General features: G+C 37.8%; 1 protein-coding gene across 15 annotated transcripts in view; it reads right to left on the reverse strand.

The window, feature by feature from the left end:
* ANO10 (anoctamin 10) overlaps positions 1–17,153 on the reverse strand; it is a 325,747-nt gene that overhangs the window by 63,359 nt on the left and 245,235 nt on the right. For 10 of the 15 annotated variants that reach the window (NM_001346469.2, NM_001346468.2, NM_001204833.3 and 7 more), the window contains one exon: positions 3,405–3,521. The exons of 3 other annotated variants lie outside the window; for them this stretch is intronic. In NM_001346469.2, the coding sequence (NP_001333398.1) occupies positions 3,405–3,521 (117 nt within the window). Of the gene's footprint in view, positions 1–3,404; positions 3,522–17,153 lie in introns of those variants that run through there. 2 more of the 15 variants (XM_011533885.4, XM_047448429.1) reach the window with 1 other exon arrangement.

Consider the following 17,153-nt stretch of genomic DNA (forward strand, 5'->3'; position numbering starts at 1 on the left):
AGACATACTAATAATATGTTGAATTTGGTGGTGGTGAGGGAGGTTCATAGGGAATGAGGTATAATTTCATTCTCTCAAGAAGAATCCTTTCCTTTTTAGACAAACAAGTAGTAACATGAAATCCTGAGTGATTTTTTCAAAATATCTTTTTTAAAAAAGCAAATTCATGGAATTTTATGGTATATACAGACCATAAAATTTACTGTATAGATATACCACGAAATCCTGAGTAACATGAAGCATGATTCTTCCTAGACCTGGAGTTAAGATATGTATGCACCAGCCAGGAAGTTGCCTGCCCCCATCTACAAAATGTCACCAGAAATGCAATCAATGGAGAAATCTGATTAACTAAAACTCTTCCAGAGACAAGGCTGTACATTCAGCTTTTTTTCTTACATACCTCATAAAGTTTTTAGATGCTTTATGCCCTCTCACGCATTTTTAAACTGACACCTAAAATCTTTTAGTCATAAATTCAATAGCTGCAAAAATGTAGGCAGTGTGTATGTGCATGCATAAGCATAGACAGATCTTTTTTAAAAAAGCAGGTTACTGGAATTTTATTGTATAGATATACAATAATTTACTTAACCATTCTCCTATTGAGGAATTTAGTTATCTCCAGATTTTTGCTAATAAAAATGTTTCAATGACTAAATTTTGGTACTCTTTTCAGATACAACCATTACCCTAGTAAGGTTTGTTTGGTGTTGGAGAGTAATTGAAATTAAATTCAACTGCAATTCGAGGAAGACTGAACCAATTTACACTTCTGTCAGTTATATATAAAAGAATGTCCATTTCCCAAATCCAGTGAGGACAGGCTATCATGACATAATCCAATAGAACATGCGAAATGTGGTATTTCACTGGTGTTTAAATTTATATTTCTTTCATTTTGAATGAGGTTGAGCATCTCTTCATATGCTTTCCTTTCATTACTGGACTGTCATTTTTTATAGATTTGTGGAAATTATTTTTTGAATTAAAGATATTGACTTTGTTATATATGAAAATATTTTTCCAGTTTGTCCAATTTATCTTTTGAGTTTGCTTATTTTTTGTCATACAGAAGTTTTCATTTTTCATGTATTTTACTTTATCTTTTTTTTTTTAATGATTTTTGGGTTTTGTGTCTTGATTAGGAAGGCATTTCCCACTAAAAGATACACCCAGACTTTTAATAGACTTCTTATGGTTTACATTTTTTACATTTAAATCTGTCAACCTTGAATTTTGTGGTGGTGGGGAGGTTCATAAGGAATGAGTTAAAATAAAGTATAATAATTTTCCCAAACAGCTGTTTGCCATCAAACTGTGTAACAAATAATCCTTCTTTTTTCCATTGACATAAAATATCACTTTTACCATAAATGAAATCCCCAGTTTTATTTGGGCCCATTTATGGACTCAATGCTCTCTATTCCACTGATTTTTCCATTTCTTCCCTAATTTAAAATGTATTTAATTATAATTATTGTACTATTCAGAATACATTTTAATATCTGACAAGAGTGAGAGTCCCCATTTTTCTTCTTTATCAGAAGTTTCCTTGCTATTCTCAGATGTTTATTTTGATATATTTGAATTGGTATTGGATATTTACAAGATTGAATCTTTTGATCCCAGTAAAGTTTAAAAAAAATTGTTCTATAAGTTATCTATATTGTTTCCATAAATTACCACCTAAGTTTTTACATTTTGGTTTCTTCTGTAAATGTGAATTTTTCATCAAAAATATTTTCAAACTGATTATTTCTTGTGAAAAGAAACACGATTTTAGATAAACTTTGTAACTTGCTTCCTTACCAAATTTTTTTATTTTTAATAATTTATTTTTAGCTATATAATCCTCTAATTTTCTTTTCTTTTTTTTTTTTTGAGACAAGGTCTCACTCTGTTACCCAGGCGGGAGTGCAGTGGCATGATCATGGCTCATTACAGCCTTGACCTTCTAGGCTCAAGCAATTCTCCCAGCTCAGCCTCCCAAGTAGCTGTTACTACAAGCGTGCACCACCATGCCTGGCTAATTTTTGTATTTTTTGTAGAGACGGGATTTCACCACGTTGCCCAGGTTGGTCTTAAACTCCTGGGCTCAAGGGATCTACCCACCTCAGCCTCCCAAAGTGCTGGGATTACAGGTGTGAGCCACTGCACCCAGCCTAATCCTCTGATTTTCAAGTAATGATAATCTTGCCTCTTCTACTTGAACTTATCTCTTCCTCTTATACAACTGCTTTGGTTAGTACCTCTAGAAGAATGCTAGCTGTCAGTGATGATGATGGATTTTCTGCCATTGCTGGGAATGCTCTGGAGTTTCATTATTGGGCATGATGCTGGGTTCCGGTTTACCATATAGACACACTGGCTAGCCCACATGCCAAAAGTGAACTTGCCCAACCTCTAGGAATGCAGGTAACTTAGTCTTGTCACCTACTGTGTGGCAAACATGAGCACAGCTATGGCTAGTGGGCCTGGGTTCATCCTCTTTTCCACATTCTTATCACAAGTCCTCTTCTGGAGTCACCCTGCCTCATCAGGGCAAGTATTGGTTTGATGTGGGGTTCTCCTGTCCGGCGCACTACCCTTGGAGCCCTCAGGCTTTGATCAAAGGGTCATCTTAGGTGGGTCCTCTTCACGTTCTTTTTTTCTCCCCACTCCCCAAATGTAAGAAGAAATATTTCTATGCATAGTGGTTTGGAGGCCAAAGAAGGAGTATGTGTCCAGGAGGTTCTGCCCAGAGCTTGTCCCCTCAGATGGCAATGCCTTACTGATTCTCTCATTTCTTAAATTCCTATGCAGCACTAAAGATAACAAGTGAGAGATACTCCAGGTGTCTAGGGATCTTCTGTCTACTCCCACTCTCCTACAAGCAGAAAATCACCAAAATGGTCAACTCCAGCATGGCTTTTTTTTTTTTTTTTTGTAGTCTCTGGTAGAATGTGGAAGTCACTGAGGCACAGTTTCTCCTTTCAGGGCAATTTTGCTGCTTCTACACACCTGATCTCATTCTGTCTCGCTCTCTGAAAGCTATTATTCAGGATTTTATTCATTCACTTCTCCTCACTTAATGTTTCAGTAGATGGCAAAACTGGAAGCTGTGGGGAGCTGCCCCAGGTTGATTCTTAGATGTCTGTCTTGTTCTTTTGCTGAATGCTAGCTCTATTCTTTATTTAACATTGCCTGAATATTTTTGTTTCTTTAGTTTAGTTATTTAAACCTATTTGTTGCTCATATTGTTAGGATTTTGGTTTTGTTATGTCATCCTGAACTGGAGTCCTCTGTATTCATTTAAACTGGTAACTTCAAGGCTGAAAAAAATGCTGAGACTGATTCTTCTGAATTATTTTTCCTGTCATTTGCTAAAGCAATACATACATTTTCAGGACAGCTGCTCTCACCTGCTGCTTGAGTGCCTCCAAAGACTCAAATTCCAGTCTGGCTAGTTTCATCTGGATATGCCGTGGCTTATCAGGTATGGCAAATGCAAGTATAAACTTTAAAGCCAGGAGTGCGTGCTGAAAACAAGAAAGAGTACATGTTGATGTGATACATCAGACCATATATGCAAGGAAATAAATTGATATCTAAGCAATCTAGGATTATTTATATTAATCTTGGGTAATTTCTAAGTATTGGCCTGTGAAGTATCAAAGACCAAGCAGGCCCATGAGTTGTACTGAGTGAGTCCACCCTGTTGTGGTACATTCAGTAATTACTGACTTTGCTTAATTCTTTTTTTTTTTTTTTTTTTTTTTTTTTTTTGAGACCGAGTTTCATTCTGTTGCCCAGGCTAGAGGAGTGCAGTGGCACGATCTTGGCTCACTGTAACCTCTGCCTCCCAGTTTCAAGTGATTCTCCTGCCTCAGCCTCCCGAGTGCACCATCACACCTAACTAATTTTTTTTGTATTTTTTAGTAGAGACGGGGGTTTCACCATGTTGGTCAGACTGGTCTCAAACTCCTGACCTCAGGTGATCCACCCACCTTGGCCTCCCAAAGTGCCGGGATTACAGGTGTTGAGCGACCACACCCAGCCAACTTTATTCTTTTTAAAACCAGGTATTCCTGTAAACTGATACCGTAAGGGTACCCTCAATGTTTTATAGAAAAATGGCTTATTCTGAAGTCTTCCACAAACTCTTTTCTAGAAACGCATCTTAGTATACAATATTTGTTGTCACTCCACTCTCTGCCCAATGTCCCTGTGCTGCACTTCAGTTTGAGTTACATGAAACGTACATGTATCTTAAAAATAAGGTGTCATGAATCCTCTAATCCCATAGCATTTGGTGCATTTTCTTTTATGATGTGATAATAAATAAAGATTAATTCAATGATTGTAACTTTATGCTGCTGACTCCATATATGGTAAGTACACAGACATTATAATATGGAAAACTTAAAACCTGGCTATTATTTTTCCTTCTCACACAAGCATCATAAAGAAGTCCTCTATAACATAATGATATGAGATGTATAATTAAGCCAATGGTATTGCTTCCCTTGGTAATCCCGCTGTTCAGATGTATAGGCTCAACCTACTGATACTTCTCCGAATCCAGATCATCTTGTGATCCAGAATCAACACCCACAGAAATCTAAGTGATCAAAGGATAAAGCTGCCTCTGTGGTGACAGCATGAGTTACTAAATATTAAAAGTTGTGAATTTTAAAAGAAATAATTAAAAGGCATTAAGAAAATCAATGAGAGAGATGGAACAGCCTTTAAGAAATGTTGCATTGAATTATTGACAGAAAAAGGACAGTTGAAAAAAATTAAATGAATTTCTTACTGTGATATTTCCAAAAGGAGAAATGAGGGATAAATAACAAGCAGATATCTCCTGGGAGAAGCATGAAATAGTGAAGGAAATCAGCATGATGCCAGAACAAGCAATAATTTAATCAGAAGACTTGAAAACCAGCAGAACCCCAGGACAGGCTAAGCAGTGGCTGGTATTAACAAGAGACAAAGAATAGACCAGGGACAGACAGCCTTCATGTAAATGTGACTGCCATGACCAAAGATGACACTGGAAGATACTGATTAAGGGTCTAGAGTAGGAAAACAAGTAGATAATACAGCATGGACCAGATGATACCCTATGTTGAAATTCTGAACTAACTGAATTAATAAAAACCTGGATATAATCTCCAAAGAATACATGAATAATTCAGAAAAGGCTATGCTGTACTGTTATTTCATTCCATTAGAGTACTGAGATATAATTTTATACAAGACAATCTCTTCAGTGGAAATATCAGACAAGAAGTACACAAATTAGTAGATAAAAATAAATCTTCCATGTATTTCAGAGTCTGTGTGGGCTTAAGTTGCCAGAGCCCTACATGACATGACAAAGTCATGGCCCCTTTCCATCTCTCCTAATAAATCTGTACCCATTTCCTCTTCCTCAGAGCCTTGGCAGGAATGAAAAAAACAAAATATCCTGCTGAGGAAGGACATGCTTCCCTTGGATGTAAGGCATCTGGAAGGTGTAAACTCTCGTTTGGGAACCAGGACTGGCTAACAGGTAACAGAACAAGTAGGTAACAGAACAAGGCTGCCCAGATTTTGCTGCTGTGGTTTCCATGCGAACTGTTCACAAAATTCTCATGAATTGAAAAAAGTTGGTATTGATTAGACAATATTAATCAAAACAGGATGCCATTTTAAACATTTGCATAGCAACATGCTTTTATGAGTAATTCTCTACAGTTTATTTTCCAAAAAATATAGCATCTTCACAATGGTTTTCTTTAGATGGTGGCACTATAGGCAGTCTATCTTTACTCTTTAATGGACATGAATTACTTTTATATGGGGGAAAAACTTATATAAAAAAGAACACAGGGATTCCTATAAATGAATTACATATGCCCTGCCACGCTCCTAAACTCACCTCGTCCTGATTGCTCATTTGCCCAGTAAACAGACAAAGCCAGACAATCTGCAGTTCAGAGAATGTGGCTTTTTAAACTGAAGTCCAAGAATATAAGAAGCTGGGCAAAGTGGGCTGGGTGCAGTGGCTCACGCCTGTAATCCCAGCACTTTGAGAGGCTGAGGTGGGTGGATCACTTGAGGTCAGGAGTTCAAGACCAGCCTGGACAACTTGGGGAAACCCCATCTCCACTAGAAATACAAAAATTAGCCAGGCATGGTGGCAGACATCTGTAATCCCAGCTACTTGGGAGGTTGAGGCAGGGGAATTGCTTGCACTTGGAAGGCGGAGGTTTCAGTGAGCTGAGATCGTGCCACTGCACTCCAGCCTGGGTGACAGAGCGAGACTCCATCTCAGAAAAAAAAAAAAAAAAGCTGGGCAAAGTGATCACTTTGTATTCATTCATTCTGCAAATATGTGGAAAGTACTTATGCAGGGCCAGAGTGCTCAGATGGAAGCCTTCATCAACTACTTCCTAACCTTCTCTAATCTGTCATACTGATTTTCTCCCCACTTTGCCAAACTACCAGAAATTTCACCAATTATAGGTTTATTTGCTTTAATACACATTTTCTATTAAAAGTGAAAGCATCAGTGGGAAGGTTAAGGAGCATCAACCATTCACAGATATTGGTTAATTACTTTAATTAGCTGTTGCTAGCAAGTTATTTCTTGCTATCCTCCACCCCTACCCCTACCCCTAGGCAAATAACAATGAATACTTGTGAGTGAGGTGGGAAGACAACACAGCAGAGATAGAATCAGCTTCAACAGCAGGGGACCTGCTTCAAGGAAGAGGTGTAAAGAGAAGCAGAAAGGAGCCAATATTGTCTCTATGGTCAGGAAAGGATATATTAGACCTTCCCCACCTCTACCCCAACTTTCTTAGGGTTTCTCTTACCCAGGATCCAGAATTCAAGTTAAGCATCATTAAGGAAGCTTTTGTGTTGTAGCCTGGAAGCCTAAATAACATTTATAGCCTCGTGTTTCAAAAGGTCAATTTTTTGGATATTATTTACATTTTCCATACAGCCACTCTGTTTCAAGGCTGGGAACTGCTTTATGCTAACTAATCTGAGAAAGAAAAAAAACCACAAAAAGCATTTTCATCATTTTTTCTTGTTTAAATAAAAGAAAATAAGATAAAATAGGAATCTATTCATATTTGAAGAAAAACACTCAAAATGAACAGAGGGGTGGAAGGAGCCTGTCTATGAAAAAAGAAGACATTTTATGCACCAGAATTGTGATTCTTCATCAACAATCTTCTTTTACAGTAAAACTCACAAAATTATATCCTAAACAAAGTAAAGGAGAAGAACAGTGAAGGTGGGGGGAGGGTAGGGTGAGGAGACGGGCAGAATTTTAAAACTAGCAAATACAAAGAAGTTGGCTCCCCACAAAAATATGCCTTAAAAAGTGATTATAGGGTGTCTGAGTTGGGAAAGGGAAAAAAAGTAACAGGACCAGAGAAAATTAGCACTCAGAAGCTAAATGTTTTCCAGTGCCAGCAGTAAAGTACTGCCCGCTCTGCTATTAGCACATTGCTCACCTTTGGTCACTGCAGGGTTGTCAAACCCTAGGACTCTCATGCCAGCTGCAAGGAGAGCCAGCAGAACCATTTTATTTTGCAAAAACTAGAAAACTTATGATATGATCCATAGTAGTAGCTGTGTTTTGTAGTAATATGTCCCCAACCCTGTCTCTAATGAAACAGAAAATGCAAATTAGAGTTGAATTCTTAGAATTCTGAAAAGCAGATCTGATTCCTACAATGGTATGTATGCAGAGTTACCTGTCTCCATTCAGATGGCAGCCACGACTGAACAAAAGGAGTGCCCTGAAAAAGGTATCCTCTGCTGATTACTAGACAAATTACATGCCAAATGCAAATTAATAAAAATGATTAATGGAGCAGAGATTGAAAAAAATGTTATGGAATTAGGCTCTTAAGAAAACAACCTCAGGGATTTTCATTTTAAGATGGCAGACCAAGCATGTACATCTACTTCTTCTACCTCCCAAAGGTCCCCTGAAATGACAGAAAGATGTATTCTAAAAGAAACAACACTGGAAAATAAGAGAAGTTGCCAGAACTTCTGAGGATAGTACCAAGGTAAAGGCAGGTACTCTCAAAGGAGCCTCAAAGAAGGCCCAATGTCAGATTTGACCCCACAAAGGAAAGGACTGAGCCAGGGAGTCTGCACCAAAGTGAATAAAGAACAGCCATCAGAGAAGCTGGGGTCATAGGGACCTTTCTCATGCCACCTTGAGAGGGAAAGAGAAAGTAGAATGTATACATCTAACTTTCTGTCTTTTCAGAGGACCGCCTGAGGGACTAGTTTCTGCCTTTTCTAAATTAGAGGGCATGTGAACTTAAAGGATATACTTTAAATGCCTAGGGAGTGCTGAGAATAATTAAGAGCTTGTCAGCTTGTAGCAGCACCAGAGAACTTGCAGTACGGCAGACAGATACCAGAGGCAGAAAGAAATTACAATCTCCTAAAAAAGAAGCTGGCAAGCCTTTTTAATCGGGAAATTAGATGCATAATCCCAGAGAAGACACACTACCAGAAAAGATTTGAGAGACTCTCTGATTCTCTAACTGGGCTGATTGGTGAAGGCCTTCCTTGTATAAAGCTAGTCTGTAATGACAGAGAGATGGCTGTTTTTCAGATGCCCAAATGCCAGCAAAAAACAAAAGGGCATCTGAAAAAAAAAAACAAAAAAAAACAAGGAAAAATGGCCCAAGCAAAGAAACACAATAATTCTTCAGAAGCTGACCCAAAAGAAATGAAGATCTGTGAATTGCCTGACAGAGAATTCAAATAACTGTCTTTAAAAAGCTCAGTGAGCTATAAGAGGTCACAGGCAACTAAATAAAATGAGGAAAACAATGCATGAACAGAAAGAGAATATATCAGCAATCAAATAGAAACTGTAAAAAAGAACCCAACAGAAATTCTGGAGCTGAAGAATAACTGAATTAACAAGTCACACCTAGGTATGATGGCTCACACTTGTAATCTCAGCACTTTGGGAGGCCAAGGTGGAGGATCATTTGAGACCAGGATTTGAGACTGGCCCAAGTAACATAGCAAGACCTTATCTCTACAAAAATAAAAATAAAAAATAAAAAACTTAGCTGGGTGTGGTGCCACATGCCTGATGTCCCAGCTACTTGGGAGACTGAGGCTGTAGGATTGCTTGAAACCAGGAATTTGAGGCTGGAGTGAGCTATTATCACACCACCACACTCCAGCCTGCTGACATGGCAGGGCCTTGTCTGTATTAAAAAAAAAAAAATTCAGCCAGGCATGGTGGCTCACGCCTGTAATCCCACTATTTTGGAAGGCTGAGGCAGGTGGATCACCTGAGGTTAGGAGTTCAAGACAAGCCTGACCAACATGGTGAAACCCCGTCTCTGCTAAAAATACAAAAAATTTAGCTGGGCGTGGTGGCAGCCACCTGTAATCCCAGCTACTTGGGAAGCTGATGCAGGAGAATTGCTTGAATCCAGGAGGCAAAGGTTGCAGTGAGCCGAGATGGTGCCACTGCAATCCAGCCTGGGCAACAAGAGTGAAACTCTGTCTTAAAAAAAAAAAAAATTCACTAATGAGGTTCAACAGCAGATTTGAACAAGCAGAAAAAAAGAATCAGTGAACTCAAAGATAGGTCATTGGAAATTATTGAGTCACAGGAGCAAAAACAACAAAAGAAGAAAAGTGAAGAAAGCTTAATGAAACAGCATCAATTGGACCAATTATGTATTATAAGAGTTCCAGAGGAGAAGAGACAGAAAGAAATGGGAACAGAACTTAATTTGAGGAAATAATAGCTGGAAACTTACCAAATCTGAAGAAATGTAAATCCAAATTCAAGAAGCTGAAAGGTGACTAAGATGAGCCCAAAGAGGCCTACACCAAGACACATTATAATCAAACTGTCAAAATCAAAGACAAAGAGAGTATCTTGAAAGCAGCAAGAGAAAAGTAATTTATCATGTACAAGGGAATTCCCAGATTATCAGCAGATTTCTCAGCAAGAAGATTGGGGGCCAGAAGAGAACAAGATGATATATTCAAAGTACTGAAAGAAAAAACTCCCAACCAAGAATTGTATACCTGGAAAAATCATCCTTCAAAAATGTAGGAGAGAAATAAAGACCTTTCAGATAAGCAAAACCTGAGGGATTTCATCACTACTACAACTGCCTTACACATAATGCTACAGGCATTCCTTCAAGCAGAAGCTCAAGGACACTAGATAGCAACACAACAGCATAAGAAAAAATAAACTCTCTGGTAAAGGTAAATATATAGACAAATAAAAAATCCTTTAATAATGCAATGGTGGTATATAAATCACTTTTAATTCTAGTATACACTTTAAAGATAAAAACATAAAACTAACTACAAAAGAATACCAATGGATCAAAAAATGTAATTTGTGGCTGGGTACTATGCCTATAATTCCAGCACTTTGAGAGGCCCAGGTGGGTGAATCATTGAGCCCCAGGAGTTTGAAACCAGCCTGGGCAACATGGTAAAACCCTGTCTCACAAAAAAAATACAGAATTTAGCCAGGCATGGTGGCCCATGCCTATAGTTCAAGCTACTCGGGAGGCTGGGGTGGGAGGATCACCTGAGCCCAGGGAAGTTGTGGTTGCAGTGACCTGTGATTGTGCCGCTCCATTCCAGCCTGAGTGACAGAGTGAGACCCTGTCTCAAAAAAGAAATAGTTATTTGTGACATTGATAATAAAAGTGGTGAGGGGAAAATGTAAACAAGAAGATTTTTTTGCATGCTACTGAAGTTTTTATCAGTTTAAACTATAAGATATTTTATGTAATCCCCATGATAACTACAAAGAAAATACCTGTAAAAAAACACAAAAAAGAAAATGAGAAAGGAATCAAAGCAAGTTCCTACAAAAAAAAATCAACAAAATACAAAGGAAGGCAGCAAGACAGAAAAAGTGCAGCAAAATAATTACAAGACATACTGAAAGCAATGAACAAAACGGCAATTGTAAGTCTGCTCTATCAGTAATTACTTTAAGTGTAAATGGGTTAAACTCCCTGATCAAAAGACATAGAGTGGCTGAATGGATTTTAAAAAAAACCAACAAGAAGAAGATCCAATTACCTGCAGATGTAAAGACATACATACAATGAAAGTGAAAGAATGAGGAAAAATGCTCATTTTCATTTACCATGAAAATGGCAACAAAAAGAGAGCCAGAATGACCATACTTACATCAGACAAAATAGACTTTAATTAACAAACTGTTATAAGAGACAAATGAGGATATTATGTAAAAACGAAAGGGCCAAATTATATAGAAAGATATAACAATTATAATTGTATATGCATCTAACATCAGAGTAACCAAATATATGAAACAAATATTGATGGAATTGAAGGGAGAAATGAACACTAATACCGTAATAGTAGGAGATTTCAATACTGCACTTCAATAATGGATAAAACAATCAGACATAAGATCAATAAGGAAACAGAGGACTTAACATCACAGACCAATTTAACTTAATAGATATATACAGAACACTCTACCCAGTAATAACAGAATAAACATTCTTCTCAAGTACATATAAAAGATTCTCCAGTACAGATCATACCTAAGGCCACAAAACAAGCCGTAACAAATTCAAGAAGACTGAAATCATACCAAGTATAATTTCTGACCAAAATGGAATGGAACTAGAAATCAAAAGCAAAAGGAAAGTGGAAAATTCACAAATTGTGGAAATTAACATTCTTGAACAACCAATGAGTCAAAAAAGACATCACAAAGGAAATTAGAAAATATCTTGAAGCAAATGAAAACAAAACCACAACATACCAAAACTTATGGGACATAGCAACGACAGTACTAAGAGAGAAGTTTATAGTGGTAAATGCTTACATTATAAAAAAAAGAAAGATCTCAAGTCAATAACTTGACTTTAACCTCAAGAAACTACAAAAAGAACAAACTAAAGTTAGCAGAAGAAAGGAAATAATAAAGATGAGAACAAAAATAAACAGACTAGAAAAACAACAGCAAAAAAAAAATCAACAAAAGTAAGAGTTGGTCTTTCGAAAAGATCAACAAAATTAACAAATCCTTAGCTAGACTAATGAAGAAAAGACTCATATACCAAAAATCAGAAATGTAAGAAGAAACATTACAATCGATGCCACAGAAATAAAATAGACTACTAAGAACAATTATACACCAATAAACTGGATAAACTAGAAATAAATGAATTCCTAGAAACATGCAACCTACCAAAACTGAATCATGAAGAAAAAAAATCTGAACAGAACTATACTAGTAAGGAGATTGAATCAGTAATAAAAAACCTACCAACAAAGAAAAGCCCAGGACCAGAGAGCTTCATGGGTGAATTCCACCAAACATTTAAAGAAGAATTACCACCAATACACCTCGAATTCTTCCAAAATACTGACAAGAAGGGAATACTTCCAGACTCATCTTATGAGGTCAATATCACTGTGATACCAAAACCAAAGACATAATTTAAAAAAGAAAACTATAGTCCAATATCCCTAATCAATATTGATGCAAATTCCTTAACAAAATACTAGCAAACCAAATTCAACAACACATTAAAAAAATTACGCAGCATGACCAAGTGGGATTTATTCTTGAACTACAAGGATGGAACAACATATGTAAACCAATCAACATAATACACCACACTAACAGAATGAAAGACAAACCACATTATTTCAATTGATGCAAAAAAAGTATACGACAAAATTCAATACCCTTTCATGATAAAAACACTCAACAAAGTAGGAGTAAAAAGAAATTACCTTAACATACTAAAGGTTATATATGAAAAAGCCTAGAGCTAACGTCATACCAAATGATGGAAAACTGAAAGCTTTCCCTCTAAGATCAGGAACATGGCGAGGAATGCTTAGTCTTGCCACTTCCTGTCAACAAAGTACTGGAAGTCCAGTACTTTCTTAATTGCCAGAGCAATTAAGAAAATAAATAAATAAAAATAAATAAAAGGTATCCAAATTGGAAAGTAGTAAAATTATATCTGTTTGTGGATTACATTATTTTAAATGTAGACAACCCTAATTCTACACACATACACACACACACACCCATTAGAACTAATAAATGAACTCAGCAGAATTGTAGAATACAAAATCAACACACAAAAATCAGTTACATTTCTATATACTAACAATGAACAATTTGAAAAGGAAATTGAGAACTCAATCATTTTTACAATAGCATCAAAAAGAATAAAAATACTAAAATACTTAGGGATAAATGTAACCAAGGAGATGAAAAGCGTGTACACTGAGACCACAAAACATTGCCACAAGAAATTGAATAAGACACAAATAAATGAAAAGACATTCTGTGTTCATGTGCTGTATTAGAACACTTAATATTGTTAAAACGTGTATATCACCCAAAGTGATCTATAGATTCAATGCAGTTTCTAACACAAAAGATTCTTAATCTCCAACAGGGTCAGCAAACTTCTTAAAAGGCCACGGAATAAATATTTTAGCCACACAGTCTCTGTCACAATTACTCAACTCTGCCATTCCTTGCAACATGAAAAGCAGAATATATAAACAAATGGGTGCAGCTGGGTGCCAATATAACTTTAATAATAGGCGGCAGGAGGATTTGGTCCTTTGGCTGGGGTTTGCCATCCTTTGGTATAGATTGTATAGAAAGACTGAAAACTCTATTTAATCAGTTAATTAACTCATATGAATTTGTTAAAAGATGAGAAAGCATCACAAAATGTGTGCCTCAATAACATAATGACTAGGACTCTTCTCTGGAGTTTAAAAGGAATTCTCTGGCAGTGTCTTCAGGCCCTATGCCCTGGTGGTCACCCTGAGAAGACGTCTTCAGGGCAGGGCTGTGTCTATGACCCAGCTCACCTTGCTCCACTCCAACCAAGCTCCATTCCTAGTGTGCTGAGGATCCACACAGGGAATGACAGGGAACCACTAATATCACAAAAGGCCTAGGCCTCTGGGCTGCCTGCATGGGTGACTTTCCAAGATCAGTCGAGTGAACAAGGAGTTGGTCTTAAAAGATGTACAGCAAACCCTTGAAGCTTTGCTGAAAAAACAACTCACAAAAAGCAGATTAACAGGAGAAAAGATGTGATATGGATTCAGTTAATGAGAACTCAGGGAAGTGACCAGCAGTTAATTGTTTTCTTCTTTGGTAGGTCTGGACTTTAGGCAGACAAGGGAACTTTAGAGAATCTAATGCTTTGGGAGAGACAGTATGGGGGAGATCAGGGAGACCTTGAGGCTCCCTTTTCAGTTCAGCATGTCAAAGTGCAGTATTTGGGGGTATTGGTTTCTGAGTCTCAATAAATATTAATAGCTGGAATCTAAAAGAAGTATACAGGGAAAAAAGGGAATATGTTAGAAGAGTCAAAACAATGAGAGAGGGAGAACTGCTCAGTATGAAAGCATGAAAAGTATTTTACTTCCTTCCTTCTTTTTTTTTTTTTTTTTTTTGACGGAGTTTCACTCTTGTTGCCCAGGCTGGAGTGCAATGGCACAGTCTCGGCTCACTGCAACCTCCACCTTCCAGGTTCCAACGATTCTCCTGCCTCAGCCTCCTGAGTAGCTGGGATTACAGGCATGCACCACCACGCCTGGCTAATTTTTTTGTATTTTTAGTAGAGACGGGTTTCACCATGTTGGCCAGGCGGGTCTCGAACTCCTGACCTCAAGTGATCCACCTGCCTCGGCCTCCCAAAGTGCTGGGATTACAGGCATGAGTCACTGCACCCGGATCCTTCTCTATTTCATCATTTAATAGAAAAGGTGATTGGGGGAAATATCAATTAGACCAAATTAATGCAAGAAAATAATCTAAAGGGTTACAGACAAATTAAATCATGTGTCTCATTGGCTCTTCTCTCTTAAAATATAATCTCCATTGTAGGGACCTGCTAATCAAGAGGCTTGTTGTAGTTGAGGGACACTGAATGATGGGGTTGTCATTTGTCCCTAGGGTGAGAAAGCTGGCTTTCAAGGCTTTGGCATGCCCTGTGTCACCAAAGAACACATCTTATACAGCTTAAAGCAATTTACATGTGTTAAAGTTTGTTTTCCTCTCATTCAGAGCCACATTTCATGCACAAAGCAGTTTCTAGAGCAGATCTGATGATGGTGAAAGGAAATAAAATCTGTAAGAGGGTTATGTGTGATTTGGAGCTTGCTTTGTTTTTTCAACAATTATTTTGATCACTTGACAAGTAAAAAAACCAAGGAACATATAAAAACTGTGTGCCCAGAAATATTCTCTAACTAAGGCCTACAAAGCAAAGTGATATCTTAAGATTATGATTTCATTCTACTATATACTTACTTCATTTACTTTAATTGTATCAAGTGAGAATTTAAGTCACAATAGAGAAATACACACTTGTAAACCTTAAACTGTTAGCTATAAGGCAGATGTGGTACCGCAGGGGCCACAGGAAAGTGGGTGGCTCTACAACAGTGCAAGGAGAACACACAATCGACCTCCTGTGGTCACCTGACACAGTCATGGCGAGGACGGCAGGGTGCAGGACACTCCAGGTGGCCTAAATATATGTCAGAGTTAGAATAAAAAGCAAGGCTCAACTATGTTAACTGCAAGAAATCCATCTTAAATAGAGGGATTCAGGTTAAAAGTTAAGAGATGCTGGGAGGCCAAGGCGGGCGGATCACTAGGTCAGGAGATCGAGACCATCCTGGCTAACACGGTGAAACCCCGTCTCTACTAAAAATACAAAAAATTAGCCAGGCCTGGTGACAGGTGCCTATAGTCCCAGCTACTCCGTGGGCTGAGGCAGGAAAATGGCATGAACCCGGGAGGAGGAGCTTGCAGTGAGCTGAGATTGCACCACTGCACTCCAGCCTGGGCTACAGAGTGAGACTTTGCCTCAAAAAAAAAAAAAAAAAAAAAAGTTAAGAGATGCACACAGATCTTGGTTTCTAATACCATTGTCCAAAACAAAGGAACCAGAGCTCCTTGGAAAAATGGCTGAGTCTAGGACCGCAGCAGGAAATATACAAGATGAGTCTTATCAGATAAAAACTAAGGAAATCTGAATAAAGCATGAACTTTAGTTAATAATATTAATAGTTGTTCACTAATTATAACAAGTGTACCATACCAGTGTTAGATGTTAAAAGTAGGGGAAACTAGCTATGGTGTATATGGGAACTATCAGTTCTAGCTTGTTAACTTTTCTGTAATCTAAAACTATCTTAAAATTAAAAACTTTATTTTAAAAAGACTTTTACTTTATCATATATATTTATCCCAAAATCACAGGTAAAACAATGAATAATTAAACTAGGATTCCAAACAAACCATCTAAAAACAACTCAGCAAAATCTGCTAAACCAGTTCTCAGGTTAAGGGTGAATATCCTGAAAATGACCTACATCTCCCAAATCTATGACCATGTTTCCTTACATTAGAAATATCATTGCCTACAACACAGGCAATGCATTTTTTTTTTGTATTTTTTGTTTTTGAGACGGGGTCTCACTCTGTCACCCAGGCTGTGTAGTGGCACTATCTCAGCTCACTACAACCTCTGCTTGCCGAGCTCAAGTGATCTTCCCACCTCAGCCTCCAGAGTAGCTGGGACTACAGGTGTGCACCACCATACCCAGCTAATATTTGTATTTTTTGTAGAGACGGGGTTTTGCCATGTTGCCCAGGCTGGTCTTGAACTCCTGAGCTCAAGCAATCTTCCCACAGCCTCCCAAAGAGCTGGGATTACAGAACACCAAACCCAGCCTTTGTTCTGTCAGGAGCTGTCCAAACACTGATGAGAGTAAAGACAAGAAGCCTGGCGGAGAGAGAAACGTATAGATATCACTGTGTGTAGAATTCTTAGAGTGGGTGATCACTTTGTGACCTCCACTGTCATCAGCTTCGGGGCCCAGGGTTCATGTCCCACATTTTATTGTGCCTTAGGGCCTAACAGAGCATGTGGATTCAGGAAGGAATGCTTCCCATCTTCTACTTCTCAGATTGCATTTAAATTTACTCCTTGTTGAACTTATCAGCAATAACTCAAGCTTCTCAGGTTTTGCTTTAATGTAACCTTTGATATCTTTGTCAGAGCAAGGGAAGTGGGAAAAATGTACAGAGGCAGTGGATATAG

Source organism: Homo sapiens, chromosome 3, assembly GCF_000001405.40.
Source record: "Homo sapiens chromosome 3, GRCh38.p14 Primary Assembly".
In the NCBI taxonomy this organism is placed as follows: domain Eukaryota; kingdom Metazoa; phylum Chordata; class Mammalia; order Primates; family Hominidae; genus Homo; species Homo sapiens.